At 57.7% G+C, this 26,461-nt stretch overlaps 2 protein-coding genes across 17 annotated transcripts in view, besides 10 other annotated features; one reads left to right on the plus strand and one right to left on the minus strand.

The window, feature by feature from the left end:
* Positions 1-17,527, plus strand: part of ITGB4 (integrin subunit beta 4) — a 36,360-nt gene extending 18,833 nt beyond the window's left edge. For 4 of the 15 annotated variants that reach the window (XM_005257311.5, XM_005257309.3, XM_006721866.4 and 1 more), the window contains 21 exons: positions 67-170; positions 502-560; positions 691-714; positions 2,050-2,198; positions 2,291-2,470; positions 3,422-3,570; positions 8,550-8,754; positions 9,820-9,977; positions 10,389-10,569; positions 10,683-10,820; positions 11,883-12,065; positions 12,155-12,286; positions 13,474-13,683; positions 14,285-14,524; positions 14,764-14,922; positions 15,410-15,559; positions 16,138-16,326; positions 16,413-16,568; positions 16,652-16,816; positions 16,909-17,019; positions 17,125-17,527. In XM_005257311.5, the coding sequence (XP_005257368.1) occupies positions 67-170; positions 502-560; positions 691-714; positions 2,050-2,198; positions 2,291-2,470; positions 3,422-3,570; positions 8,550-8,754; positions 9,820-9,977; positions 10,389-10,569; positions 10,683-10,820; positions 11,883-12,065; positions 12,155-12,286; positions 13,474-13,683; positions 14,285-14,524; positions 14,764-14,922; positions 15,410-15,559; positions 16,138-16,326; positions 16,413-16,568; positions 16,652-16,816; positions 16,909-17,019; positions 17,125-17,264 (3,182 nt within the window). In that variant the 3' untranslated portion in view covers positions 17,265-17,527. Of the gene's footprint in view, positions 1-66; positions 171-501; positions 561-690; positions 715-2,049; positions 2,199-2,290; positions 2,471-3,421; positions 3,571-8,549; positions 8,755-9,819; positions 9,978-10,388; positions 10,570-10,682; positions 10,821-11,882; positions 12,066-12,154; positions 12,287-13,473; positions 13,684-14,284; positions 14,525-14,763; positions 14,923-15,409; positions 15,560-16,137; positions 16,327-16,412; positions 16,569-16,651; positions 16,817-16,908 lie in introns of all 15 variants that reach the window. The other 11 variants (NM_001005731.3, NM_001321123.2, XM_006721870.4 and 8 more) reach the window with 6 other exon arrangements.
* GALK1 (galactokinase 1) lies at positions 11,178-24,901 on the minus strand. 2 transcript variants are annotated; one of them, NM_001381985.1, is made up of 9 exons: positions 24,681-24,901; positions 23,606-23,795; positions 23,029-23,148; positions 22,723-22,858; positions 22,413-22,594; positions 18,158-18,308; positions 17,919-18,081; positions 17,743-17,836; positions 11,178-11,446 (listed from the first exon to the last, which is right to left on the minus strand). In NM_001381985.1, the coding sequence occupies exons 1-8, from the start codon at positions 24,843-24,845 to the stop codon at positions 17,765-17,767; spliced, it is 1,179 nt and encodes a 392-aa protein (NP_001368914.1). In that variant the 5' UTR covers positions 24,846-24,901; the 3' UTR covers positions 11,178-11,446; positions 17,743-17,764. The 2 variants fall into 2 exon arrangements, with proteins under 2 accessions (NP_001368914.1, NP_000145.1); NM_000154.2 differs by lacking the exon at positions 11,178-11,446 and having other exon boundaries at positions 17,603-17,836.
* Positions 13,279-13,888: a silencer, noted in NCBI's record as "silent region_8977". NCBI's record gives its function as "represses an Ori minimal core promoter by ATAC-STARR-seq in GM12878 lymphoblastoid cells {active_cell/tissue: GM12878}" and the evidence as "EXISTENCE:reporter gene assay evidence [ECO:0000049][PMID:35858748]".
* Positions 13,279-14,249: a biological region, named in NCBI's record as "H3K4me1 hESC enhancer GRCh37_chr17:73749848-73750621".
* Positions 13,476-14,249: an enhancer, noted in NCBI's record as "H3K4me1 hESC enhancer chr17:73749848-73750621 (GRCh37/hg19 assembly coordinates)". NCBI's record gives its function as "activates a minimal SCP1, AML or CMV promoter by ChIP-STARR-seq in naive H9 embryonic stem cells {active_cell/tissue: H9 hESC(naive)}" and the evidence as "EXISTENCE:reporter gene assay evidence [ECO:0000049][PMID:30033119]".
* Positions 15,096-15,265: a silencer, noted in NCBI's record as "silent region_8978". NCBI's record gives its function as "represses an Ori minimal core promoter by ATAC-STARR-seq in GM12878 lymphoblastoid cells {active_cell/tissue: GM12878}" and the evidence as "EXISTENCE:reporter gene assay evidence [ECO:0000049][PMID:35858748]".
* Positions 17,764-18,290: an enhancer, noted in NCBI's record as "H3K27ac-H3K4me1 hESC enhancer chr17:73754136-73754662 (GRCh37/hg19 assembly coordinates)". NCBI's record gives its function as "activates a minimal SCP1, AML or CMV promoter by ChIP-STARR-seq in naive H9 embryonic stem cells {active_cell/tissue: H9 hESC(naive)}" and the evidence as "EXISTENCE:reporter gene assay evidence [ECO:0000049][PMID:30033119]".
* Positions 18,291-18,817: an enhancer, noted in NCBI's record as "H3K27ac-H3K4me1 hESC enhancer chr17:73754663-73755189 (GRCh37/hg19 assembly coordinates)". NCBI's record gives its function as "activates a minimal SCP1, AML or CMV promoter by ChIP-STARR-seq in naive H9 embryonic stem cells {active_cell/tissue: H9 hESC(naive)}" and the evidence as "EXISTENCE:reporter gene assay evidence [ECO:0000049][PMID:30033119]".
* Positions 23,916-24,125: an enhancer, noted in NCBI's record as "active region_12774". NCBI's record gives its function as "activates an Ori minimal core promoter by ATAC-STARR-seq in GM12878 lymphoblastoid cells {active_cell/tissue: GM12878}" and the evidence as "EXISTENCE:reporter gene assay evidence [ECO:0000049][PMID:35858748]".
* Positions 24,156-24,385: an enhancer, noted in NCBI's record as "active region_12775". NCBI's record gives its function as "activates an Ori minimal core promoter by ATAC-STARR-seq in GM12878 lymphoblastoid cells {active_cell/tissue: GM12878}" and the evidence as "EXISTENCE:reporter gene assay evidence [ECO:0000049][PMID:35858748]".
* Positions 24,496-24,645: a silencer, noted in NCBI's record as "silent region_8979". NCBI's record gives its function as "represses an Ori minimal core promoter by ATAC-STARR-seq in GM12878 lymphoblastoid cells {active_cell/tissue: GM12878}" and the evidence as "EXISTENCE:reporter gene assay evidence [ECO:0000049][PMID:35858748]".
* Positions 24,876-25,065: a silencer, noted in NCBI's record as "silent region_8980". NCBI's record gives its function as "represses an Ori minimal core promoter by ATAC-STARR-seq in GM12878 lymphoblastoid cells {active_cell/tissue: GM12878}" and the evidence as "EXISTENCE:reporter gene assay evidence [ECO:0000049][PMID:35858748]".

Below are 26,461 nucleotides of genomic sequence, written 5' to 3' on the forward strand. Positions count from 1 at the left end.
CTGTGGTGCCTGTCATGCAGGGGGCTGACCACCTCCATCTCACCCCCTCCCACCGCCTTTCCTTAGTGCCCTACGGGCTGTCCTTGCGCCTGGCCCGCCTTTGCACCGAGAACCTGCTGAAGCCTGACACTCGGGAGTGCGCCCAGCTGCGCCAGGAGGTGGAGGAGAACGTAAGGACCCAGGAACTAGGCCTGGCCGGAGATGTGGGTATGAGGGCGGGTGAGGTGGGCAGGGCAGAGCGAATGCGGTCGTGGTACCGAGATTCATTAACTAGGGGAGAGGGGTCTCTCTGGACCTGTGCCTGGCAGGGGGCATCCTGGGATCTGTTTCCAGAGGGCAGAAGGCCAGAGCCTGGGCCCAGGATGCTGCCCCACGGGGCATGCCCCAGCCAACCCTGAGGATCTCTGGGTACAGAGGCTGCCTGGCTCCCTGGGTCCCCAGCCTGAGGGCTTGCCACGGGGTGGCCTAGGCCCAGCCTCACGCCCCTCCCTTGCCTGGCAGCTGAACGAGGTCTACAGGCAGATCTCCGGTGTACACAAGCTCCAGCAGACCAAGTTCCGGTGAGTCCCGGGGTGCCCGGGTTGGGTGGGGGAGCCGCTCCTACCGGGACTCCAGGAGCCGAAGCCCCCAGGCCGATCAGGCCTCCACTTCAGGGCTATCTAGCTCACAGCGCCCTCTTTGTCCCCACAGGCAGCAGCCCAATGCCGGGAAAAAGTGAGTAGAAGACTCGTGGGTGAGAGGGCCCCCACTTCCTGCCCGCCTGTCCCCAGCCCAGCCACTGCCTCGTCCGTCCCTACTCCATCTCCATCCCATAGGAAGGGAGGGTCAGATGTGTCCGTCAGGTTCGGACCTTCATTCGTTCCTTTGACCATTTCTTCAACAAATGCTAATGTGAAGTGCTTGCTATGAAGTGGCCCCTGGACTAGAGCAGGCAAAAGCAAATCAACCCAGTCCCTGCCCTCATATAGGTGACTGTCCAGCCCCCCACCCGGTACCAGCGATAGCAGGTACCCATCTCCATCCGCTCCAGTGTCCAAGACCCTGATCTTGGGTGCACCTCTGGGGACCAGGCAGGTTACCGAGAGGATGGGCCAGCAGGTCACACACCTTTTTTCCCAGGTCCTACATCGAGTCCTGGCCCTTCATGGGGAGAGAGAGGGAGTGAGGAGGGGGTCTTGATGCAGGGACAGAAGAGCTAGAATCTCAGCACATGACCATCAGTAAGAACCGTTGGCTGTGCGTGGTGGCTCACACCTGTAATCCCAGCACTTTGGGAGGCTGAGGCGGGTGGATCACCTCAGGTCAGGAGTTTAAGACTAGCCAGGCCAACATGGTGAAACCCCACCTCTACTAAAAATACAAAAATTAGCCAGGTGTGTTGGTGGGCACCTGTAATCCCAGCTACTTGGGAGGCTGAGGCAGGAGAATCCCTTGAACCTGGGAGGCAGAGGTTGCAGTGAGCCGAGATTGCGCCACTGCACTCCAGCCTGGGCGACTGAGTGAGAATCCGTCTTGAAAAAAAAAAAAAAGAATGGCTGACCAGCATTTCTTATCCTGCTACGGGCCAAGCATTGTCCTAAGGGCTTTCCGTGTGTGGTCATCTTATCCAACCCTCTCGTCAAGCCTGTGAGGTAGAGATCACTGCTGTTCCCATTTTGCAGATGAGGAAGCTGAGGCTCAAAAGGGTTAAGTGACTTGCCCAAGGTTACCCAGCTATCGAGAACTAGAACCAGGGCTAGGGCCGCGGCAGCCTGGCCTGAGCACACACACCCTTAGCATCTTTGCTGTCCAGCCCTTGATGAGGTGGGCAGAGAAGCCCATTTCACAGAGGAGGACGCTGAGGACAGGGAGGCGCCATGGCTGGGCTGAGGCTGCAGGGTAAAGGGTATGGGGCTGGCATAGGCCTGGAGCACTGCCTGCCTCTGAAGACCCTGCACTTCTTGCTGTCTTACATCCTGGCCCCTGAAGGGGAGAAGACAGGCAGGAGGGACAGGGCAGCAGGTGCCAGCCTGACCCCTCCGCTGCCTGAACCTTCCACCCTCGACCCAGGCAAGACCACACCATTGTGGACACAGTGCTGATGGCGCCCCGCTCGGCCAAGCCGGCCCTGCTGAAGCTTACAGAGAAGCAGGTGGAACAGAGGGCCTTCCACGACCTCAAGGTGGCCCCCGGCTACTACACCCTCACTGCAGACCAGGGTAGGAGGGCGGGTCCGCTGTGCCACTGCCTCGCACCTCCCGCCTGTGTGGCCCTGTGACCCACCTCTGACCACCTCCGAACCCCCACCCAGACGCCCGGGGCATGGTGGAGTTCCAGGAGGGCGTGGAGCTGGTGGACGTACGGGTGCCCCTCTTTATCCGGCCTGAGGATGACGACGAGAAGCAGCTGCTGGTGGAGGCCATCGACGTGCCCGCAGGCACTGCCACCCTCGGCCGCCGCCTGGTAAACATCACCATCATCAAGGAGCAAGGTGGGTCTGGGTGGGGAGAGTGGGGAAGGCAGACGGGGGCTCGGGGGCACTGGTTCCTCCTGCTTAAGTGGAATTGCGACCTGGCCACGTGGCCTGGGCTAGTCACTTAACCTCTGCAAGCCTTGGTTTCTCCATCTGTAAAATGGGTAAGGGCTCTTTTACGGAATGCGTGGCTGTTCACCTCGCCACAGTGCCTGCCTGGTGGTGAGCGCTCAGTAAATGGAAGCTTCTGTTGCATCCTCATAAGGGCCAGCCCCTTGCTCCTCTCTATCTAGAAAAAGGGTTGGCCAAGGCATCACACCGTGGACATCTGACCCCTCCTCCCACCTGTGCCGGAAGCCACAGGCCTCAGGCCTGTTCCTGCTCTCCTCCAGCCCTGGGGCTGAAGGCTCCATCTCTGGTCCTGCCCGTGACTGGCCTCCCTCCTCTGCCTGGCCCTTCCAGGATGTCTGCTGGACACTTTGTTCCAGAACCACTTTTTTTTTTCTTGGGACAGAGTCTTGCTCTGCCACCCAGGCTGGAGTGCAATGGCACCATCTTGGCTCACTGCAACCGCTGCCTCCCAGGTTGAAGTGATTCTCCTGCCTCAGCCTCCCGAGTAGCTGGGATTACAGGCACTCGCCACCACGCCCAGCTAATTTTTCTATCTTTAGTAGAGATGGGGTTTCGCCATGTTGGCCAGGCTGGTCTCGAACTCCTGACCTCAGGTGATCCACCTGCCTCAGCCTCCCAAAGTGCTGGGATTACAGGCACAAGCCACTGCGCCCGGCCCCTCATCTTTTTCTGGAAGGATTTTCCGTTTCGCTCCTGTGCCCTTCCCAGAGGGCAATGCATAGAGGGAACCAAGCGGACTCCTGGATTCTGGGCTGGGCTGGGCAGGGTCACAGGAGAGCAGGAGGTGGGAAGGGACTGGGCCCAGCACACTCTGACAAATGCCCGGGCTCCTTGCAGCCAGAGACGTGGTGTCCTTTGAGCAGCCTGAGTTCTCGGTCAGCCGCGGGGACCAGGTGGCCCGCATCCCTGTCATCCGGCGTGTCCTGGACGGCGGGAAGTCCCAGGTCTCCTACCGCACACAGGATGGCACCGCGCAGGGCAACCGGGTGAGGCTGCGCCACAGGGTCGAGGGTGCAGCCCGGGGGGCTGCGTGGGCACCGCATTGGGTTCCCAAGACAAAGCAGCACATGGCAGCTGCTTGAGTCCCTGGATACTGGCCGTGCCCCTGGCTGGCCTCCCAAGGACACGTCCACCTGCTCCTGCCACCCTGTGGCAGGGGAGTCTCACCTGCCCAGGGTGCCAGTGACACGCTGGATGAGGCTCCATTGCTGCCAGGGACTCAGGCCAAGAGGGCTCGCTCTTTTTTTTTTTTTTTTTTTTTTGAGACAGAGTTTCGCTCTTGTTGCCCAGGCTGGAGTGCAATGGCACAATCTCAGCTCACCGCAACCTCCACCTCTCGGGTTCAAGCGATTCTGCTGCCTCAGCCTCCCTAGTAGCTGGGATTACAGGCATGTGCCACCACGCATGTCTAATTTTGTGTTTTTAGTAGAGACGGGGTTTCTCCATGTTGGTCAGGCTGGTCTGGAACTCCCGACCTCAGGTGATCCGCCCGCCTTGGCCTCCCAAAGTGCTGGGATTACAGGCGTGAGCCACCGCGCCCGGCCCAAGAGGGCTCTTTCTTCCTTCATGGGCCAGGGACCTGCCCAGACCATTCCTGTCCCCTCCTACAACTCAGGATCCACAGGGTAGCCAAACCTCTTGGAGATAAACTCCCCCTATATGCCCCAGTCCAGGGGGCTTTGGGTTTCTTGAGCTGGGATCGAAGACCCCATGTCCCCAGGCCAGACTCCCCAAGGGCTGTCACAATTTGCCAAGCAGCAGGAGCAACCCTTCAAGGCAGGGAGTGCCATGGCTGGACCAGCATCACCTTCACTGCTGAGCCCCAGTGCTGGGGTACAGCCAAATCAGGTGGCACACAGGCTGGACTGGGTTTACAGGCTTCATAGTTTTGTTTCTTTTGTTTTGTGTGGGGATTTTTTGCTTCTTAATTTTTGGGGGAGACAGGGTCTTGCTATGTTGCCCAAGCTGGTCTTGAACTCCTGACCTCAAGTGATCCACCCACCTCGGCCTCCCAAAGTGCTGGGATTACAGGAGTGAGCTACCACGCCCGGCCTAGTTTTTGTATTTTTAGAAGAGATGGGGTTTTGCCATGTTGGCCAGGCTGGTCTTAAACTCCTGATCTCAAGTGATCCGCCCACCTCGGCTTCCCAAAGTGCAGGGATTACAGGTGTAAGCCAGTGCACCTGGCCTTTCTAGTTTTTAAATGTTGGCAACAAATCCATAATTAAAAACAAAGGCGGGGCATGGTGGCTCACACCTGTAATCCCAGCACTTTGGGAGGCTAAGGTGGGAGAATCACTTAAACCCAGGAGTTCAAGACCAGCCTAGGCAACGTGGTGAGACCATGTCTATACATATAATTTAAACATTAGCTGGGCATGGTAGTGCATACTTGTGGACCCAGCTACTTGGAAGGCTGAGGCAGGAAGATCACTTGAGGCCAGGAGGTTGAGGCTACAGTGAGCCATGTTCATGCCACTGTACTTCAGCCTAGGCAACAGAGTAAGACCCTGTCTAAAAAAATAATAATAATTAATTTTTTAAAAATCAAACAAAAAAACAAAGAAACAAAACCTGGCTCAGTGCAGTAGCTCATGCATGTAATCCCAACACTGTGGGAGGGCACAGTGGGAGGATCACTTGAGCCCAGGAGTTGCAGGCCAGCTTGGGCAACATAGTAAGACCCTGTCTCTATTTTAAAAAAATAATAATAATAATAAAGGCCAGGCGAGGTGGCGTATGCCTGTAATCCTAGCACTGTGGGAGGCCAAGGCAGGTGGATCGCCTGAGGTCACGAGTTCGAGACCAGCCTGGCCAACATGGTGAAACCCTGTCTCTACTAAAAATACAAAAATTAGCTGGGCATGGTGACACGTGCCTCTAATCCCAGCTACCCGGGAGGCCGAGGCAGGAGAATTGCTGGAAACCAGGAGGTGGAGGCTGCAGTGAACCGAGATCATGCCACTGCACTACAGCTTGAGCGACAGAGTGAGACTCTGTCTCGAAAAAAGAAAAAAAAAATTATCTCAAAAGTAATAAAGTCTCGCCTCCCTGGGCCCACAGGCCCATTCAGCAAACATAGGGGAGCGCGTAGTCAGCAGGCCCGGGCTGCCTGGCCACATCCTAATTTTATTTACTTCTTTTTATTGACAGGAACTGTTCTCATTATTTTTCCAATGTCCCCCCATAAAAATTCCAAAGAATAATTTTTTTCTTTTAAGAGACAAGGTCTCCCTCTAGTCCAGGGTGGAGTACAGGGGCACAGTCCTAGCTCTCTGCAATCTTGAACTCCTGGGCTCAAGCAGTCCTTCAACCTCAACCTCCCAAGTAGCTGGGACTACAGATGTCCACCACCGCACGGCTAATTTTGTATTTTTTTTTCTTTGAGACGGAGTCTCACTCTGTTGCCCAGGCTGGCGCGATCTCAGCTTACTGCAACCTCCACCTCCAGGGTTCAAGCGATTCTCCTGCCTCAGCCTCCCAAGTAACAGGGACTACAGGTGCGCACCACCACACCCAGCTAAATTTTGTATTTTTAGTAGAGACGGGGTTTCACCATGTTGGTCAGGCTGGTCTCGAACTCCTGACCTCGTGATCCGCCCACCTCAGCCTCCCAAAGTGCTGGGATTACAGGCATCAGCCACCGCGCCCGGCCATTTTATATTTTTAGTAGAGATAGGGTTTCGCCATGTTGCCCAGGCTGGTCTCAAACTCCTAGGATAACATGATCCTTTTGCCTTGCCTTCTGGCTACCCTGTTACACTTGTATAAAGATGCTTTGAGGCTGGGTACAGTGGCTCATGCCTGTAATCCCAGCACTTTGGGAGGCCAGGGCGGGCAGATCGCTTGAGATCAGGAGTTCAAGACCAGCCTGGCCAACATGGCGAAACCCTGTCTGTACCAAAAATACAGAAAATTATCTGGGTGTTGTGGTGTGCACCTGTGGTCCCAGCTACTCGGGAGGCTGAGGTAGAGCCCAGTAGGTGGAGGTTGCAGTTAGCCGAGATAGTGCCACTGCACTCCAGCCTGGGTGACAGAGTGAAACCCCTGTCTCAAAAAAAAAAAAAAAAAAAAAGCTTTGATATTTGTTTTTTAAAACATTTTAATTTCTCACCTTTTTATTTTTAAAAACTTCAACTTACAGAAAAATGGAAGGAACAGTAAAACTAGCACCCATTTACCCTTTACATAGATTCACCGATTGCTAATATTTGCTTTCTCTCTCTTTCTATATAGATAGCAACATAGAAATATAAATAGAGATGTGGACATCTGTATCTTCACATTGATTATACTAGTACCTAAAATTAGTCCATATTCCAGCCAGGCGTGGTGGCTCACACCTGTAATCCCAGCACTTTGGGAGGCTGAGGCAGGTGGATCACCTGAAGTCAGGAGTTTGACACCAGCCTGACCAACATGGAGAAACCCCATCTCTACTAAAAATACAAAAATTAGCCGGGCATGGTGGCACACGCCTGTAATCTCAGCTACTAGGGAGGCTGAGGCAGGAGAATCATTTGAACCCAGTGGGTGGAGGTTGCAGTGAGCCAAGATTGCGCCACTTCACTCCAGTCTGGGCAAAAGAGCAAAACTCCATCCCAAAAAATATATAAAATAAAATAAAATAGGTCCATATTCCAATGTCCCCTTGTTCGGATGTCCCAATAATGTCCTTTATAGCGTTTTTCCCCCCAATGCAGGAACTAATCAAGGATTTGGCATTGACTTTTGTCACGTGTCTTGACTCCTTTAATCTAGAAAAGTTTCCTGGCTTTGTCTTCCGTGACACTGACTTTTGTTAAGACAAGGTCTCGCTCTGTCACCCAGGCTGGAGTACAGTGCCTCACTGCAACCTCTGCCTCCCGGGTTCAAGCAATTCTCCTGCCTTAGCCTCCCGAGTAGCTGGGATTACAGGCACCGGCCACCATGCCGGGCTAATGACACTGACGTTTTTGAAGTATCCATGTAGGTTGCTTGCAGGCAGCTCCCTGGTTTGTTTTTTGTTTGTTTGTTTTACAACTATGGGTCTCACTTTCTGAGTTGGGTGGCATGAGGTTGCCTCCCCAGCCATCGCCCTGGCTGCTGCGCCTGGAATTGAAATCTTGCCCTGAAGTGCCACCTAGTGGTCTTCTATGTGAAGGATTTTCTTTTTCCTCCCAGTTCTTATCCTGGAAAGCTCAGGCATGCTCCACGGCACTGAAAGGAAGATGGGTGGCTCACGCCTGTAATCCCAGCACTTTGGGAGGCCAAGGTGGGCGGATCGCTTGAGGCCGGGAGTTCAAGACCAGCCTAGGCAACATAGGGTAACCGTGCCTCTACAAAAAAAAAAAAAAAAAAAATAGCCAGGTGTGGTGCACGCCTGTAGTCCCAGCTACTCAGGCGGCTGAGGGGAAGGATGGCCTGAGCCCAGGAGGTCAAGGCTTCAGTGAGCTGTGATTGTGCCCCTACACTCCAGCCTGGGTGACAGAGTGAGACCCTGTCTCAAAAACAAACAAACAAACAGAAACGTGGCTGGGCATGGTGGCTCATGTCTGTAATCCCAGCACTTTGGGAGGCCAAGGTGGGAGGATCACTTGAAGTCAGGAGTTCGAGACCAGCCTGGCCAACATAGTGAAACCCCATCTCTACTAAAAATACAAAAATTAGCTAGGCGTGGTGGCAGGTGCCTGTAATCCCAGCTACTCAGGAAGATGAGGTGTGAGAATCATTTGAACCTGGAAGGTGGAGGTTGCAGTAAGCCGAGATCATGCCACTGCACTCCAGCCTAGGTGACAGAGTGAGATTACGCCTCAAAAAAAAAAACAAACAAAAAAAACACAAAAACCTGAACCTCGTGTAAGTACTCCACCCAGCAAGCAGGGATGGTCTCTGCAGTGTCCATGAGGTTGGGAGGGAGCGTGTGGCCATGACTCTTGCCTCAGCCCCCAGCCATGACCCTGACCCTGACCCCCTCCACTCCCAGGACTACATCCCCGTGGAGGGTGAGCTGCTGTTCCAGCCTGGGGAGGCCTGGAAAGAGCTGCAGGTGAAGCTCCTGGAGCTGCAAGAAGTTGACTCCCTCCTGCGGGGCCGCCAGGTCCGCCGTTTCCACGTCCAGCTCAGCAACCCTAAGTTTGGGGCCCACCTGGGCCAGCCCCACTCCACCACCATCATCATCAGGGACCCAGGTAGGCAGAGCCTGGGGGTCGGCTTAAGCAGGAGGAGAGGGAAGACTGGGGGGTCTCTCAACTAGGTCTGTCAGACTTAGCAAATCCAAACACAGGACGCCCAGGTAAATCTGAATTTCAGGTAAACAACATACACGTTGGTAGGATAAGTATGTCCCATGCAATATTTGGAACATACTTATCCTTTTTTTTGCAAAATGGGCTGGGTATACTGGCTCACACCTGTAATCCCAGCATTTTGGGAGGCCAAGGTGGGAGGATCACTTGAGCCCAGGAGTTCTAGACCAGCCTGGGCAACATAGTGAGACCTCGTCTCTACAAAAAATAAACAAATTAGCTTGGCATAGTGGTGTGCACCTGCAGTCCCAGCTATTCCGGAGACTGAGGTGGGAGGATCACTTGAGCCCAGGGGGTCTGGGCCGCAGCAAGCTGTGATCGCACCACTGCACAGCACCTGGGCCATGGAATGAGATCCTGTCCCCCAAGAAAAAATAATCTTGTTGTTTATCTGAAATTCAAATGTAACTAGGCATCCTGCATTTTATCTGGCAACCCTACAGCTAGAGAGGCTGTTGTCACCACACAATAGGAATTCTCCCATCAGACCCTGGCCCTTTGGCTTCAGCCTCAATTCCAACTAACATGCAGATGCTTGTGGAAGGAAGGAGTGGGCCAGTTAGTTCCTATCAGCCCTCAGCCTCCCAACTGGGAGAAAGCCTGCCAGGAAGATGGGAGAGGAGGGAGATACTCAGGGTACAGTGTGGAGATGGGGTGGGGAGCAAATGTTCTCATGTGGAATGTTCCCTGAGCTGCCAAGGGAGAAAGGGGCAGACCAACTCCCTCCCGCTTCTGTTCCTCCAGAGACCCTCCTGGGTCCTCCGCCAAGCTTGGCAGGATGCTCTATGTGGCAGCAATGGGGCACCACCAGGTCTCCAGAGACGCGGGTGGGCAGGTCTGAGTTGAATGCGCTGGGTAGAGCGCCCTGGGTGTTGAAGTGGGTCTCTGGCGCCCCCTGGTGGTGAAGGGGGATCTGAGTGGTTGCCCGGCCCCAACCTGACCCGTTAGATGAACTGGACCGGAGCTTCACGAGTCAGATGTTGTCATCACAGCCACCCCCTCACGGCGACCTGGGCGCCCCGCAGAACCCCAATGCTAAGGCCGCTGGGTCCAGGAAGATCCATTTCAACTGGCTGCCCCCTTCTGGCAAGCCAATGGGGTACAGGGTAAGGCGGGGGGCTGAGGGTCACGACAGGTGGATGGGCGGTCTGGCACCAGCACTCACAGAAGAGGTGGGCCGTCCAAGGCCAGGGCCCCCTGAGAGAGAGCAGACAGTGGAACCTAGCACAGGTGGTCAGAGGGAAACCCGGTCTGTGCTGGGAAAGAGGGAAGACCCATTCCTGAGTTTATCAGACATTTGCCCTCCTTCCTAGAATGGGGCCCCCTCCCACCCCCGCATGGGAGATACCCCCACCTGCTCTGCCCTAGTCCTGACGTGTGCACATGGCAGATCTCTCAGCCCCTCCCTCGGGCCTCATCTGTGCAAAGAGGACAGTAAGGGCAGAGGTCAGAGGAGGGACAGGCAGCTTGGGTGCCTGCTGCTCCCTGCTGACCAGGACCCCTGTCCCTGGGGGTAGGTAAAGTACTGGATTCAGGGTGACTCCGAATCCGAAGCCCACCTGCTCGACAGCAAGGTGCCCTCAGTGGAGCTCACCAACCTGTACCCGTATTGCGACTATGAGATGAAGGTGTGCGCCTACGGGGCTCAGGGCGAGGGACCCTACAGCTCCCTGGTGTCCTGCCGCACCCACCAGGAAGGTGAGGCCTCGCCATGTCTGTCCATTTGTCCCCTGGCTGCCCTGATGCCAGCATGCCCAGACCTCCCTCCCTCTGCCACTGACAGCACTCTTCCTGTATTCCCCGCTCCCTAGTGCCCAGCGAGCCAGGGCGTCTGGCCTTCAATGTCGTCTCCTCCACGGTGACCCAGCTGAGCTGGGCTGAGCCGGCTGAGACCAACGGTGAGATCACAGCCTACGAGGTCTGCTATGGCCTGGTCAACGATGACAACCGTAAGAACCAGATCCTTCTTTCCTGCCCACAGGGAGAACAGCCATGGAAGGGGAGGGGACAAAGCTGGAGGGAGCTCTTGGTCACTCCCTGGACCTGCTGTGCAGGGCACTCGAGGCCTTCATCCTGGTCAGCGGATAAGCCTGAGGCATCTTTAGGGTTTTGGCCAGATTTGGGCTGGGTTGCATTCTAAGACCAAACCCAGAAGGTTGCAGGGTGGGTGGTTACCTATGTGGAGTGAGGTCACAGGCCCAGGGGTACCCCTCCCCATGCAGGTAACCAGGGAGCTCACACGTGCATGGTTTTCTTAGGGTGAGAGGAAAGTTACCGGATTTAGCAAACAGAAATACAGGAGGTTCTGAATTTCAGATAGCACTTTAAAAGATTATTTTGTACATTGAGAGGCCGAGGCAGGTGGACTGCTTGAGGTCAGGAGTTCAAGACCAGCCTGGCTAACATGGTGAAACCGTTTCTACTAAAAATTAGACAGGCATGGTGGCTCATGCCTGTAGTCCCAGCTAGTCAGGAGGCTGAGGCAGGAGAATCACTTGAACCCAGAAGGCGCAGGTTGCAGTGAACCGAGATCGTGTTACCGCACTCCAGACAGGGTGACAGAGCCAGACTCCGTCTAAAAATAAATAAATAAAAAGGATTATTTTATACATTATTTTATCTAGCAGCCCGAGATCAGAGGTGCCTAGCAGAACAGTTATTTCTCCAGTCCTGGAAGGGAGGCAGGGTGGGCAACCCCTATGCGTGCCCTTGCCTTGTGTGGAGGCACCGTGGATATATGGGTAGAGGTGACATCGAGGCCAACTTGAGTCCAGCCCTGGCTCTGCCACTTACTCAGCAGAGTCCCTTGGAGGACTGGTGACATATGTCCACGCCAGTCATGCTGACGCTCAGGGCTCCGCAGGCGGCAATTCAGCAGTGGCTGGCTTTGCCTTGCTTCCCCAGCCCCTGGGTGCCATCCAGGGGATGCACGGCCGTCCTGCTGTGTCAGGGGTGGTGTTGGGACCAGGCTGGGACCTGGGTGACCCTCTGAAGCACTCTCTCTGCCCCAGGACCTATTGGGCCCATGAAGAAAGTGCTGGTTGACAACCCTAAGAACCGGATGCTGCTTATTGAGAACCTTCGGGAGTCCCAGCCCTACCGCTACACGGTGAAGGCGCGCAACGGGGCCGGCTGGGGGCCTGAGCGGGAGGCCATCATCAACCTGGCCACCCAGCCCAAGAGGCCCATGTCCAGTGAGTGGTGGGCAGGGAGGTGAGGGGCAGACCGGGCAGGGGGGCAGGGGGCAGCAGCCAGGGCCCTGGCTCACTCCCCTGCCCTGCAGTCCCCATCATCCCTGACATCCCTATCGTGGACGCCCAGAGCGGGGAGGACTACGACAGCTTCCTTATGTACAGCGATGACGTTCTACGCTCTCCATCGGGCAGCCAGAGGCCCAGCGTCTCCGATGACACTGGTGAGTGGAGACCTGGGACCCACAAGAGGACAGTGGGGGTCTTGGGTACAGAGTGAGTCCACTGGGTCCAGAGAGGGCAAAGGGGCCAGCAACTAGAGGACATGGAGGTTAAGGCAGCCTTGGACAAATGCAATGGAGTGCACATCTGTGCATGGGGCACAGGAACCAGTGCCTGGGGGACAGACACACACAGCCTTGTGCAAGCGCACATGAGTTCATGCCCACGGGACCACGAAGAAACACAGCTTCACAAGTTGAAGGTTCACCAGCTGTGCCATGCACACAGGACACTCAGGCCACCCCCCAGGGGCAGGCCTGGCCCAGGAGCCCTGGGCAGCCACCAGGCGGCCACCTGGCAGGGGTAGGGGAGCCAAGGAGACAAGAACACCCCCAACAGCTCTGTCCTTCCTCCTTGATTCCCAGCACAAAGTGCTGCGGAGCCCTTAGCTGGGCCTCCTGAGTGCTCAGTGTCAGCTGTGGCTCCACCTGTGGGACATCAGATGAATCACTCATCCTTTCCATGCCTCACTTTTCTGCTCTGTATAATGGGATACCAATCACACAGTACCATGAGTGGAAAAACCTCTGGGGCACGTATATCTTTTGTATTTTCTTCTGTCCCTGCCGATGCCTCAAGCTGCCCCCGGTGAACACATACTGGCCCCCACGGGGCTCAGCTTGGGCTTAAGGAGCCATTTTGAGGGGTTCAGGTGGAGCGCAGCTGGTGTGACTCTGGAACCCCAGCTCAGCTGCTTCTAACACTACCTGCGAAGCGCTCGGTGGCTTGCGGAACGGTCCCTGGGAGGCGGGCAGGGGCAAGATTCCTCTCTCCATTGTACAAACGGGAAACTGAGTCTCGGAGAGGTTAAGTAAAGCAAGGGAGACCTCACAGCTGGTGACAGAGCCCAGACTTCCCCCAGGTTTCTGGCGGGTCCGGGGGTCTCTCCTCCCCAGCTGTGCCGAGGCTGCACTCGCTCATCTGGAAAGGCTTCAGCCGCGCAAGGGTTTCACCTGCCGCGGCCTTCCCGCTCCGGCCGTGCGCATCTACCCCCGCCCCCAACACACACCCCGGGATCCCGGGAGCTGGAGACGGGCTCCCCTCGCAGAGCCTACGGCCTTCCCCCGCCTGGCCCTGCTCGGCCCGGCGCCCCCCGGCGGTGCCAACGCGGCCCTTCGTTGTTCCCAAGGCTGCGGCTGGAAGTTCGAGCCCCTGCTGGGGGAGGAGCTGGACCTGCGGCGCGTCACGTGGCGGCTGCCCCCGGAGCTCATCCCGCGCCTGTCGGCCAGCAGCGGGCGCTCCTCCGACGCCGAGGCGCCCCACGGGCCCCCGGACGACGGCGGCGCGGGCGGGAAGGGCGGCAGCCTGCCCCGCAGTGCGACACCCGGGCCCCCCGGAGGTGACAGGCTCACCCGCCGCCCCCCGATCCGCGCCCACCCAGCCTCACTCGCGCCTGAGGGCCTGGGGTGGGCGTCTGCGCTGCCTCGGGGGCCCCAGTTTCAGCCAGGCCCGGGCCTTGGCGGCTGGGAGCACAGCTGCTCAGAGGCAGGGCCCAGTGCCAGGGGACGCGTGAGGCAGGCGCTTGGGCCCTTATGGTGCCTGCCTGGCCAGGGGGTGCAAATTCAGAAGTCTGCCCGGGAAGCGGACCCTGGCACCCAAGTAGACCCCTCAGGGGCCTCAAAGGACAGGAGGGAAGGCTTGGGGATCTCCCCAGGGCAGAGCTGACTGCAGACGCAGCAAACCCCCGCCACTGCCAGGGTCAGCAGTGCTCACACCGATAGAGTGGCCGGCCAGAGGATATGGGCTGTGGAAGCCTGGGTGGCCCTTGGGCTCCTGCAGGGACAGAGGGCCTCTGTCCCTAGTGGTTTGAGGGAAACTGGTTGTATTTAAGCAAAAGCCACCCAGAGGGTGGGTGACCAGGAATGTGCAGGGCCCAGCCTGCCCCACGGGGCCCGGGTCTGGGGCAGGCCTGACCAAGGGACCCTGCTCTCCCCCTGCAGAGCACCTGGTGAATGGCCGGATGGACTTTGCCTTCCCGGGCAGCACCAACTCCCTGCACAGGATGACCACGACCAGTGCTGCTGCCTATGGCACCCACCTGAGCCCACACGTGCCCCACCGCGTGCTAAGCACATCCTCCACCCTCACACGGGACTACAACTCACTGACCCGCTCAGAACACTCACACTCGACCACACTGCCCAGGGACTACTCCACCCTCACCTCCGTCTCCTCCCACGGTGAGTGACCTCAGCCAACCCTGCCTCTCCCACTAACCCTTCCTCTCTTCCAGCTCCTGGAGCCTCGGGCTTCTGTCTGCTGTCCCCACCGCCCATTCTCCAACATACACACACGCATGCACACATGCACGCACACACGTGCACACGCATGCACACATGTACACAGACATGCATGCGCACACGTACACACATGCATGCACACTCCCTGCTCCTCTCACTCTTGTTTTGTCCTGCCCTAGGCCTCCCTCCCATCTGGGAACACGGGAGGAGCAGGCTTCCGCTGTCCTGGGCCCTGGGGTCCCGGAGTCGGGCTCAGATGAAAGGGTTCCCCCCTTCCAGGGGCCCACGAGACTCTATAATCCTGGCTGGGAGGCCAGCAGCGCCCTCCTGGGGCCCAGGTAGTACAGGGGTGGCCATCCTGTCTCCACAGCTGTCCTGCTCCATCTGTCATCCAGCCACCATAGCAGCCGCCAGCTGTGCCCACTGCTTCCCCTCCATTCCATCCACAGGACCCCCGCCTGCCCACAGGCGCTAACCACCTGCCCTACCATCAGTGCTGATGCCTAACTCTGCCTCTGCCCTCCCAGGGGGCGGGGCTGGGGCTGGGGCAGGAGAGGGGCCAGGCCAGCTGAGCAGTTGAGGGGGTGGGGCTGGCAGACTCACGGGGCTCACTCTCTTTTGGCACAAGCAGGGCCTGCACCCTGCTGGAGGATGTGCGGTAGGTGCTGGGCAGCCTGGACAGGGTGTTGCAGGGTGAGTGAGTTGTCCAGCCAGCGGTCAGTGTAGACATGCCAGCTGAGGGAGGGAGGTCAGGGGGCAGCACTGTGACTCCCACTGAGACCCTAGCCCCTGCATCTCTGGCTGACTGCGGCCTCCTGTCCCCAGACTCTCGCCTGACTGCTGGTGTGCCCGACACGCCCACCCGCCTGGTGTTCTCTGCCCTGGGGCCCACATCTCTCAGAGTGAGCTGGCAGGAGCCGCGGTGCGAGCGGCCGCTGCAGGGCTACAGTGTGGAGTACCAGCTGCTGAACGGCGGTGAGGCATGGTGGCTGCCAGGCTGCGGGGTGCAGCCCTGCAAGGCCTGGCCCCAGTGTGACACATAGGGTACCTCAGCTGTGTCAGGAACCCACCCAAGTCCCTTGAGCGCTAAAGCCCCCATCCAGCCTGAGAGGGTCTCCCACCCCATTCTCCACCCCACTTCTTTGCCTCCCCTCTTCTGAGGTCTCACCCACCTCCCTGGGCCTCTCTCCTGGTCATTCTCTGCTAGGTTTTGCCTAACAAGGCCCCTTTGGGCTGGGATCCTAGGGCCTCTGCTGGCCTGAGATGCCTTTGGGGGAACAAGGAAGTGGCACTTCCCTGGGCAGGCACATTCAAAGCAGCATGACCAGGATGCAGGATGTTGCCTAAACATGAGTGGGATTACAGGCTCCACTCTTGTATAGTACACAATCTGAACAACCAGCCATACCATACTGTACCCAACCTGTACCCAAACCACAGCTAGTCCTGGGTGGGTGATAACTAGGTCTCGATGGCAGCTTAGGGACGAGGAGGATCAGGCCAGGGGTGGGAGTAACACTGCACTACTGTGTGCCCCCACCTGATCCCCCCAGGTGAGCTGCATCGGCTCAACATCCCCAACCCTGCCCAGACCTCGGTGGTGGTGGAAGACCTCCTGCCCAACCACTCCTACGTGTTCCGCGTGCGGGCCCAGAGCCAGGAAGGCTGGGGCCGAGAGCGTGAGGGTGTCATCACCATTGAATCCCAGGTGCACCCGCAGAGCCCACTGTGTCCCCTGCCAGGTGAGTTGCCTCCCCCAGCCCCAGAGCTGCCCCCATCATGCCCACCACCCACCCACAGGCTGATGCTCTTCCTCTACTGCCCCCAGGCTCCGCCTTCACTTTGAGCACTCCCAGTGCCCCAGGCCCGCTGGTGTTCACTGCCCTGAGCCCAGACTCGCTGCAGCTGAGCTGGGAGCGGCCACGGAGGCCCAATGGGGATATCGTCGGCTACCTGGTGACCTGTGAGATGGCCCAAGGAGGAGGTGCTGCCCACCCCGGGGGCAGGAGTGGCCAGGGGAGGGGTAAAGAGGGGGCCGCAGACGCTGAAGGCATCTTCCCTGCTCAGGGCCAGCCACCGCATTCCGGGTGGATGGAGACAGCCCCGAGAGCCGGCTGACCGTGCCGGGCCTCAGCGAGAACGTGCCCTACAAGTTCAAGGTGCAGGCCAGGACCACTGAGGGCTTCGGGCCAGAGCGCGAGGGCATCATCACCATAGAGTCCCAGGATGGAGGTAGGCACCTGTCCTTTCCTTCACCCCCACCCCTCCTCGGGCCGTGCCTCCTTCTGGCACCACCCTCTGACTGGCCTATCTGCCCACCCCAGGACCCTTCCCGCAGCTGGGCAGCCGTGCCGGGCTCTTCCAGCACCCGCTGCAAAGCGAGTACAGCAGCATCACCACCACCCACACCAGCGCCACCGAGCCCTTCCTAGTGGGTGAGCACTGAGGGCTAGGGGATCCCGGCTCTCCTGGGACAGGGAGCTAGCAGAGGGAGAAGGGCAGACCCCAAGCCAGGTCATCTAATGCCTCCTCCTCCACAGATGGGCTGACCCTGGGGGCCCAGCACCTGGAGGCAGGCGGCTCCCTCACCCGGCATGTGACCCAGGAGTTTGTGAGCCGGACACTGACCACCAGCGGAACCCTTAGCACCCACATGGACCAACAGTTCTTCCAAACTTGACCGCACCCTGCCCCACCCCCGCCACGTCCCACTAGGCGTCCTCCCGACTCCTCTCCCGGAGCCTCCTCAGCTACTCCATCCTTGCACCCCTGGGGGCCCAGCCCACCCGCATGCACAGAGCAGGGGCTAGGTGTCTCCTGGGAGGCATGAAGGGGGCAAGGTCCGTCCTCTGTGGGCCCAAACCTATTTGTAACCAAAGAGCTGGGAGCAGCACAAGGACCCAGCCTTTGTTCTGCACTTAATAAATGGTTTTGCTACTGCTAGGCCCTGCCTTGCCCATTCTTCTGGGGCCTGAGAGGTGCTCCCCTAGGGTAGGGGAGCGGTTCTGACATCCCCCATTCTCTGACACCCAAGCATACACCCACCTCTAGAGGAGGCAGGTACCACATTGGAGGCACAAGTTTATTGAGCACCCGGATATGGAAGATGGCACCGGGCACAGAGCCGTGGGACTGGCCTGCAGGCCCCGCACCCTCACCGTGTGCTGTCCTGGGGGTGCCTCACAAGCACAGCACCTTGGCTCCATCGGCTGCTTGAGAGAGGTAGAAGGTGGCAGTCCCGCCGTAGTGCTCCTGTAAGAGGCGGGCTGGGGGTGAGTGGCAGGGCCCCGGGAAGCTGCCGCTCCTGCCCGCCCAGGCCCTGGTGCCCGCCCACCTGGATGTGCCGCATGGCGTGGGGAGCAGCGGAGGCCTCCAGCAGTGTCACCGTGCAGCCACCGAAGCCACCGCCCGTCATGCGGCTGCCATAAACCCCAGGCACAGCAAGCGCAGCCTCCACCAGCTGGTCCAGCTCTGGGCAGCTCACCTCATAGTCGTCTCTGCAGAGAGGATATTGAAGGGGTGGGCCTGGGCCGGCCTGTGCCCGGCAGGAGCGGGGCGCCCAGAGGGCCTCACCTGAGTGAGCGGTGGCTCTCCACCATGAGGCGGCCAAAGGCTCTGTAGTCGCCACGTCTCAGGGCGGCCGCTGCCTGGGCCGTGCGCCGAATCTCCCCCACCACGTGCCGGGCCCGCCGGAAGCCCTCTTTGCTCACCAGGTCCCTGGCAGCTGGGGAGGAAAGAGGAGTCAGCAGCCGCCTTCTCACTGCCTGGGGCCCCGACGCCTGTGAGGACCAGCAGGCGGTGATGGCAGTGGCCCTGGCTGGACGGTGAAGGGTGGAAGGCCGCGGGGGCAGGGCAGCCTGGCTCTCTCAGACGTGGGTCTGAAGAGCCCCTTTATCACAGTGCCTCCTCCCCCGACTGTAAAATGGGACACCTTGGTCCTTCAGGGAGCAGTGAGGGTTGAAACACTCCATGCTTTCCAAGGTGAGTGCTGCCCTCAAGAGGCCACCACAGAGCAGGAGGAGAAGAAGTTCTGCTGAGCCACATGGAGCCTCCAGGGCTGGGGCTCCAGAAGAGGGGGCAGAAGCAGCCAGGGACCAGCAGGCTGTCCCATCTGACTGGAGCTGAGGCTGGAGGGGTACCTGGGTCAGTACCAGTACTGACTCAGTGTACTGCGCCCGGCCAAACCCGCAGGTTTAAGGGGGAAGGTTGTTAGGGTAGGTGGCATGGCGGGATGGAGGGGCAAGTAGATTCAAAGGACTGAGAAATGAATGGGTGGGCGCGGTGGCTCACACCTGTAATCCCAGCACTTTGGGAAGCTGAGGCAGGCAGATTGCCTGAGGTCAGGAGCTCGAGACCAGCCTGGCCAACATGGCGAAACCCCGTCTCTACTAAAAATACAAAAGTTAGCCGGGCATCGTGGCAGGCGCCTGTAATCGCAGCTACTCAGGAGGCTGAGGCAGGAGAATTGCTTGAACCTGGGAGGCGGAGGTTGCAGTGAGTGGAGATCATGCCACTGCACTTCAGCCTGGGTGACAGAGTGAGGCTCCCTCTCAAAAAAAAAGAAAGAAAGAAAGAAAGAAATGAATGGAAATGAGACAGTGGGTGGTGTTTTAGGAGGGAAGAAAACTGAGCATGTCTTGGAGGCTGAGGGAAGGAGCCAGGCAGCCAGGCAGGGGATGGAAGGAGAGGGATTGCGCTTCTAGGGCAGGACTCTGGAGGAGGCAGGGTGAGCTGCTCCTATGCAGAAGGAGACCTGGAGGAGGGGCAAGGACAGGCTGGGGTGGGGAGGAGGGACCAACTTGTTCCAGTGTGAAAACCTTGGCCAAGGGCATCTGCACAGAGCAGGCAGGGCAGGTCTGAGCACTGCTCTGGAGAACGTGACACAGTTCACAAAGGAAAAGGACAGGGAGGTCCCTCGGAGCTGTCTAGTGTCCCTGAGATAGGCACACCTACACTGCCAGGAAGGAACAACTCAGTGTGGGCAGCACGGCCAGCCAGTCAAGAGCATGGGCCCTGGAGCTAATCTGTCCAGATGGGGTTCAGATCCCAGCACTGCCTCTCACTGTAGATTCCCCCATCAAAAATATGACAACTATGGTAGCAGAATGTGCTTTACAGAGTTTTGGAGGGAATTAAATGAGCTAATATTGATAATGACCTTAAAACTGTCCAATAGACTACCTTCCTGGCCATGTGTAGCAGGAGCCTTAAGGATACTTGTATCTTTTTTGTTTTGGAGACAGGATCTCACTTTGAGGCCCAGGCTGGAGTGCCATGGTGCAATCACAGCTCACTGCAGTCTCAACCTCCTGGGCTCAATTGATCCTCCCACCCCAGCCTCCTAAGTAGCTAGGACTACAGGCACACACCACCACACCTGGCTAATTTTTGTATTTCTTTAGAGATGGGGTTTTGCCATGTTGCCCAGGCTGGTCTCGAATTCCTGAGCTCAATGAATCTGCCCACCTTGGCCTCCTAAAGTGCTGGGATTACAGGCACAGACGTGAGCCACCGCACCCAGCCTACAATACTTGTGTCTCTTGACTCTGTAATCCTACTCCTAAGAATCCATTTCTAAGAAACTATTAAGAGAATGCAGATAGGCCAGGTGTAGTGGCTCACGCCTGTGCCTGTAATCCCAGCACTTTGGGAGGCCAAGGCAGGCGGATCACTTGAGGTCAGGAGTCCAAGACCAGCCTGGCCAATATAGTGAAACCCAGTGTCCACTAAAAATACAAAAAAAAAAAAAAATTAACTCGCTCTGGTGGCACACGCCTGTAGTCCCAGCCACTCCAGAGGCTGAGGCAGGAGAATTGCTTGAACCCTGAAGACGGAGGTTGCAGTGAGCCGAGATCACGCCACTGCGCTCCAGCCTGGGCTACAGAGCAAGACTCAGTCTCAAAGAAAAAAAAGAGAATGCAGATAAACCGGGTGCCTTTGGTTGCAGCTACCCAGGAGACTAGGTGAGAAGATTACTTGAGCCCAAGAGTTCAGGTCCAGCCTGGGCAACTTAGCAGAACCCATCTCTTTAAAAAATAAAAAAGATGGCCAGGCACAGTGGTTCATGCCTGTCATCCCAGTACTTTGGGAGGCTGAGGTGGGCAGATCACCAGGTCAGGAGTTCACGACCAGCCCGACCAACATGGTAAAACCTCATCTCTACTAAAAATACAAAAATTAGCCAGGTGTGGTGGCACATGCCTCTAATCCTAGCTACTCAGGAGGCTGAGGCAGGAGAATCACTTGAACCTGGGAGGCAGAGGTTGCAGTGAGCCGAGATCGTGCCACTGCACTGCAGCCTGGGTGACAGAGCAAGACTCTGTCTCAAATAAATAAATAAATAAATAATAAAAAAGATAAATAAAAAAAGTTAATCACAGTGTGAGGTGTATCAGAAAATAGTTAAGTAAATGACAGAGCACCTGAATGCTAAAATATTGTGGAGCTTTAAAGAGCCACACGGAGGCCAGGTGCAGTGGCTCACACATGTAATCCTAGCACATTGGGAGGCTGAGGCGGGCAGATCACGAGATCAGGAGTTCGAGACCAGCCTGGCCAACATGAAACCCCGTCTCTACTAAAAATATAAAAATTGGCTGGGCGTGGTGGTGGGTGCCAGTAATCCCAGCTACTCAGGAAGCTAAGGCAGGAGAATCATTTGAACCCAGGAGGTGGAGGATGCAGTGAGCCGAGATTGCGCCACTGCACTCCAGCCTGGGCAACAGGGCAAGCCTCCACCTCACCAAAAAAAAAAGAAAAAAAAAAAAAAAGAGCCACACCGAGATATGCCTTTCATGGCATAAGATAAGATAGGGTTCTGGGTTCTGAGATTATGTTTAGTTTAAAAAAAAAAAAAAAAGAGACCGGCACTATGGCTCACGCCTGTAATCCCAGCACTTTGGAAGGCTGAGGCGGGAGGATCACCTGAGGTCAGGCGTTTGAGACCAGCCTGGCCAACATGGTGAAACCCCAGTCTCTACTAGAACTATAAAAAATGTGCCAGGCGTAGTGGCGGGCGCCTGTAGTCCCAGCTACTCGGGAGGCTGAGGCAGGAGAATCACTTGAACCCGGGAGGCAGAGGTTACAGTGAGCTGAGATCGCACCATTGCACTCCAGCATGGGTGACAAGACCGAAACTCTGTGTCCAAAAAAAAAACACGGCAAATGGGCTGGGCGCAGTGGCTCATGCCTATAATCCCAACACTTTGGGAGGCCAAGGCAGGAGGACCACTTGAGGCCAGAGTTCAGGATCAGCCTGGGCAACACTGCAAGACCGTCTTTACAAAGATAAAAATTAGCCGGGCATGGTGGCACACCTGTAATCTCAGCTACTTGGAAGGCTGAGCTGGGAGGATCCCTTGAGCTCAAGAGTTCAAGTTTGCAGTAAGCTATGATCACACCACTACACTCCAGCTTGGGCAACAGAATGAGACCCTGCCTCTTAAAAAAAAGGGGGTGGGGGGGGAAAGTGATGATATATTACATATACTCAGCTTTGAAGACAGATGTGGAAAAATACTGAAAGGAAACGTGAAAATGTCAGCAGTGGCTATCTCTGGGTAGTGGCCTTATAGCTTATTATTTTCTACTTTGTACTTTTCTACATTTTCCACAATGGAAACATGATTTTTCTGATTAGATAAGACCATTTTAGGATTTCAAGCAGCCCTGCTGAGATTGGAACCCTGGGTGCGCAGTGTTTGAAGGGACTGGGGAGAGCATGGCAGAAGGCCCTGGAGATCGGGGTCCCAGGCAGGGTCAAGGCCACACTGAGGCGCCAGCAGGGAGCACAGCCGCCTCCAGGATAGAGCACCCTGGCAGTTCTCACCCTCTAGCTCTTCCAGTTGTACCTCCCGGAGGCTTTCCTTGCCCAGCGCCCGGGCCACTTCTTCACATTGGCGCCGCCGCACAGGGTACTCGCTGGAGGCCAGGGAGTGGCGGACATTAGAGTTGGTGATGAGCACGGCCAGCTTGGGGTCCGAGAGTGGCACCAGGCTGGTCTCCAAGGACCTGGGGTGGAGTTACAATGGGGGAGATGACGAGGCCAAGCGTGTGCTTGCTGCGCCAGGCAGTGGGCACACTCCCACCCAGGAGCTGCTGAGTGCAGGGCGGGAGGGGACGAGGGGAGCGAGCCCAACCTGCAGTCAATGAGCAGCGCGTGGCCTTTCTGTCCCATAAGTGAGATGAACTGGTCCATGATGCCACAGGGCATCCCTGCGAAGCTGTGCTCGGCCTGCTGACACACCTGGGCGCGGGCAGCTATTGTGCCCGAGTCTGCAGTACAGGGTGAGGTGGGGAGGCTAGGGCTGGTGGAAGCAGCAGTGGCTTCAATGACACTCCAGGGAGAGTCCCTGCCACCCCCTCCATAAGGCATAGTAGAAGCTGGGACCACCTGGAGACCTCAGGGAAGGAGGGCTGGGTCAGGGCTGGGGCCTAGCTGGTACCTGGACAGAGCTGCTGGAGGAAGGTGTACGTGGCCACTTCCAAGGATGCTGAGCTGGACAGGCCACCCCCCAGGGGCACTGAGCTGACCACCACTGCACTGAAGCCAGGGAGGGGGGCAGCTGCAGGGGAAAGAACAGGTGATGGTAAGAGGGGCTGCCTGGGAGGATGGCACAGGAAGGGCAGGTGTCCTGGCGGGAAGGGCAGCAACGGCCTAGCAGCTGTTTCTAGGGTGTGTGTCTCAATTGTCAGAAGCCACCAACCTGCTGGGCCAAGGGACCCACTGCCCTCCATTTTCCCACCCTCTGAGGTTGCTGGGACACTTCTAATTGTCCTCCTGGTTTAGGGCTCTGGAGGGAAAAAAGGCTGGGGTTCAAATCCTGGCTCCTCCAATCAGGTCACGGGAAACCCAGGGCAAGTTCCCGACCTTCTGGGGGCATCAGTTTCCTCATCTGTACAATGGGATGCTCCACTCTACAAGCCTTCCCCACAGTGTATCAGACAAATGAATGGGCTCTGTGGCTGTGAGGTGGCACTCCTAGTATCAGTGAGGACTTGGCTCAGGCCTGGGCCCCATACCTGGGTAGTACTGAATCACTCCCTTGACATAGTTGGCCCACCGAGGAGTCCCAGGCTCCAGCGAGCGCTGGGCTGTGGGCAGTGGAAACTGCAGCCGCTGGGGCTCATCGGCACCCTCAGAGGTGGTGAGGAGAGACACCAGCCCATCCTTGCGGGGGCTGCCCACCAGCACCGTCATGAGCTCCAGAGCCTGGCAGGAGAGACAAGCAGTACGTGAGGCTTCCGCCAGCTGGAGTAAGCCTCTCCAATGACACTGCCTCCAGCCGAGGTTCTGATGCCTCCACAGTCATCAGGTTCTGAACCTCCAGGTTCAGCGTCGCAGGGAAGATCCTGAGGGCCAGCTGACCTTGGGGGCTTGAGCCCTGCCCCCTTAGGTCTTCAGGGGCGGGGCGGCTGCAGCTGGAGCACAGACCTGGACTCTGCCCTGAGCTGTGGGGCAAGGGGGAGAGCTAGCCCAAAGGGAAAACAGATCACTGGAGCTCCAAAGCCTTTACATTTTGGGGTGGCTCTGGACATCCTGTACCTGTGCACTCCCCAAGCTGCAGATGGGGCGGAAAGCGCCCCCCGCTGAAAGCTGGGAGTCCTCACTCCCAAGTCGCAGCCCCGCCAAGAACCTGCTGTGTGACCTCCAGCAGTTCACTGGGCCTCTCTAGGCCTCAGTTTCCTCCTCTGTAAATTGAACGGGCTGGGCCAGAAGGCTACGTTCGCCCAGGTCTGCGGTTGGGGCCCCACGGTGGCCGGAGGCGCGGAGTGTCCCCTTCTGCGTGGCACACAGGGCCTCACAGTTTAAGGGGAACATGCTCCCAGGTTGAAGGCGAGGAGCCCCAGCCCCCAGAGGGCGGGCTTGAGCCAAGAGGCGGCCGCGCACCCTCTCCCGGCCACTTCCTCGCTTCCTCCCTTCCAACGTGGGGAACAGCCTGTCCCGGGGACTCTTCCGTGCACCGGTGCTCCAGGCGCAGCTGCCCGCCCCACATCTCCCGCGGGAAGAACTCGCCCCCAGCGTCCCCGAGGCCCGCCCTCCTCGGCGGCCGGGACAGGCGGCGGCGGGCTAGGGGCTCCCCGTGCAGCCCCTCACCATAGGCAGCACCAGGCCCTGGTTGTAGTCCGTGTGTTCCCCGATGAGGTTGACGCGGCCCGGCGCTGACACGGCCAGCTCGGGCTCGGCCCCGAACTCCTCCCGGAAGGCTCGCCGGGCCTCGGCCAGCAGCTCCGCGACCTGGGGCTGTCTCAAAGCAGCCATGACGCGCGCCTGCAGCTCTGCACAGCTGCTCCGGCACAGCCCCGTCGGCGCGGGATGCTCGGGCGGGGCCCCGCGCGGGGGTGCGCACATTCCCGCCAGCCCCGCCCCGCGCCCGGACGCCCCGCCCCCAGACCTCAGCCGGTTCCGCCCCCACCCGCAACTCCCGTGGGAATCCAGCTGCTGGGTGGTGGGTGGCAGGGGCTAATGGTGCCGGGTGGGATACAGCGCCCCCGATGGTGTCCTTCCCTCTGGACTTCGGGAAGAACCAATGAGCACTCACTAGAGTGAGAATAGCCCTGAGTGGCACTTGGCATGACCAGGATTTCTGAGCTGCCCTTCCCTGGCGCTGGTGACTTTCTATGTGCCTCACCACCCACCACCACCCACACAGCCAGAGCAATGGAGCTGGCACCCGGTTGACCTGGGATTCCCAAAGGGATCCCCTAGGTCCCCAGGGCCAGCAGCTGTGAGAGGTCATCAGCCTCTGATCACCGGTCTCCAAGAGGGTGACCTGACACTCACTGTAAGTAGAGATAAAGACAGACAAGTTTGGGCCGGGCGCAGTGGCTCACGCCTGTAATCCCAGCACTTTGGGAGGCCGAGGTGTGCAGATCACCTGAGGTCGGGAGTTGGAGACCAGCCTGACCAACATGGAGAAACCCCATCTCTACTAAAAAATACAAAATTAGCTGGGCATGGTGGCTCATGCCTGTAATCCCAGCTACTCGGGAGGCTGAGGCAGGAGAATCACTTGAACCTGGGAGGCGGAGGTTTCGGTGAGCTGAGATCACACCATTGCACTCCAGCCTGGGCAACAAGAGCAAAACTCTGTCTCAAAAAAAAAAAAGACAAGTTTGGTGGTGACCAGAGAGTCAATTTTACAAGCTCCTTTTCTAGGTAATACGCAACAGCTCCTAGCAATGGAGAATTGGACTAGGGTGGCGGTGGCCAGCAGTGGGCCCAGCCCCTCCCTTAAGGACCTGCCACAGCTGTCCAGGTAGGTTGTGCTGTTGGCCCCAGCAGGCACTACTTCAGCCCAGAAGCCCTTGTCTCAGAGGCGTGGCCTTGTTCCCAGTCAGGCACTCTTCTCTTGCTATCCTGCATCCTAAACCTGCTGGCCGGCCCCAACTGCTGCCTTGATACCTGTCCACAGCTGCCCACCCTACATGGAACCTTGAAACTGAAAGACTGAAATGTAAGCAGCTTGCTTGGGGTTAGGGTGGGAGTAGTGTGGGGAGTTATGGCCAGGGATTTAGCTTGGGGCCTGCTCAGGGGTGTGCCCAAAGAGTGGGGAACTGCATTCCAAGGGCAATTCTGAAAACTCTTAGAAGAAAACATAGGGGTACAGTTTTGTGACATTGGTTAGGAAATGTTTATTTGGTTTCTGTTTTTGAGACGGAGTTTCGCTCTCGTTGTCCAAGCTGGAGTGCAATGGCGTGATCTCAGCTTACTGCAACCTCTGCCTCCCGGGTTCAAGCGATTCTCCTGCCTCAGCCTCCGGAGTAGCTGGGATTACAGGCACGTGCCACCATGCCCGGCTAATTTTTTGTATTTTTAGTGGAGACTGGGGTTTCACCAGGTTAGCCAGGCTGGTCTCAAACTCCTGACCTCAGGTG

Source organism: Homo sapiens, chromosome 17 (genome assembly GCF_000001405.40).
Source record: "Homo sapiens chromosome 17, GRCh38.p14 Primary Assembly".
In the NCBI taxonomy this organism is placed as follows: Eukaryota; Metazoa; Chordata; class Mammalia; order Primates; family Hominidae; genus Homo; species Homo sapiens.

What these genes read in the sequence shown, in the direction of transcription:
- GALK1 (NM_001381985.1), bottom strand. Translation starts at nt 24,845, where the DNA reads ATGGCTGCTTTGAGACAGCCCCAGGTCGCGGAGCTGCTGGCCGAGGCC. An exon ending in CCTCCAGCAGCTCTGTCCAG is followed by an intron (nt 22,859 to 23,028) that starts GTACCAGCTAGG and finishes CCTGTACTGCAG; the next exon opens with ACTCGGGCACAATAGCTGCC. An exon ending in GAGAGCCACCGCTCACTCAG is followed by an intron (nt 18,082 to 18,157) that starts GTGAGGCCCTCT and finishes TCCTCTCTGCAG; the next exon opens with AGACGACTATGAGGTGAGCT.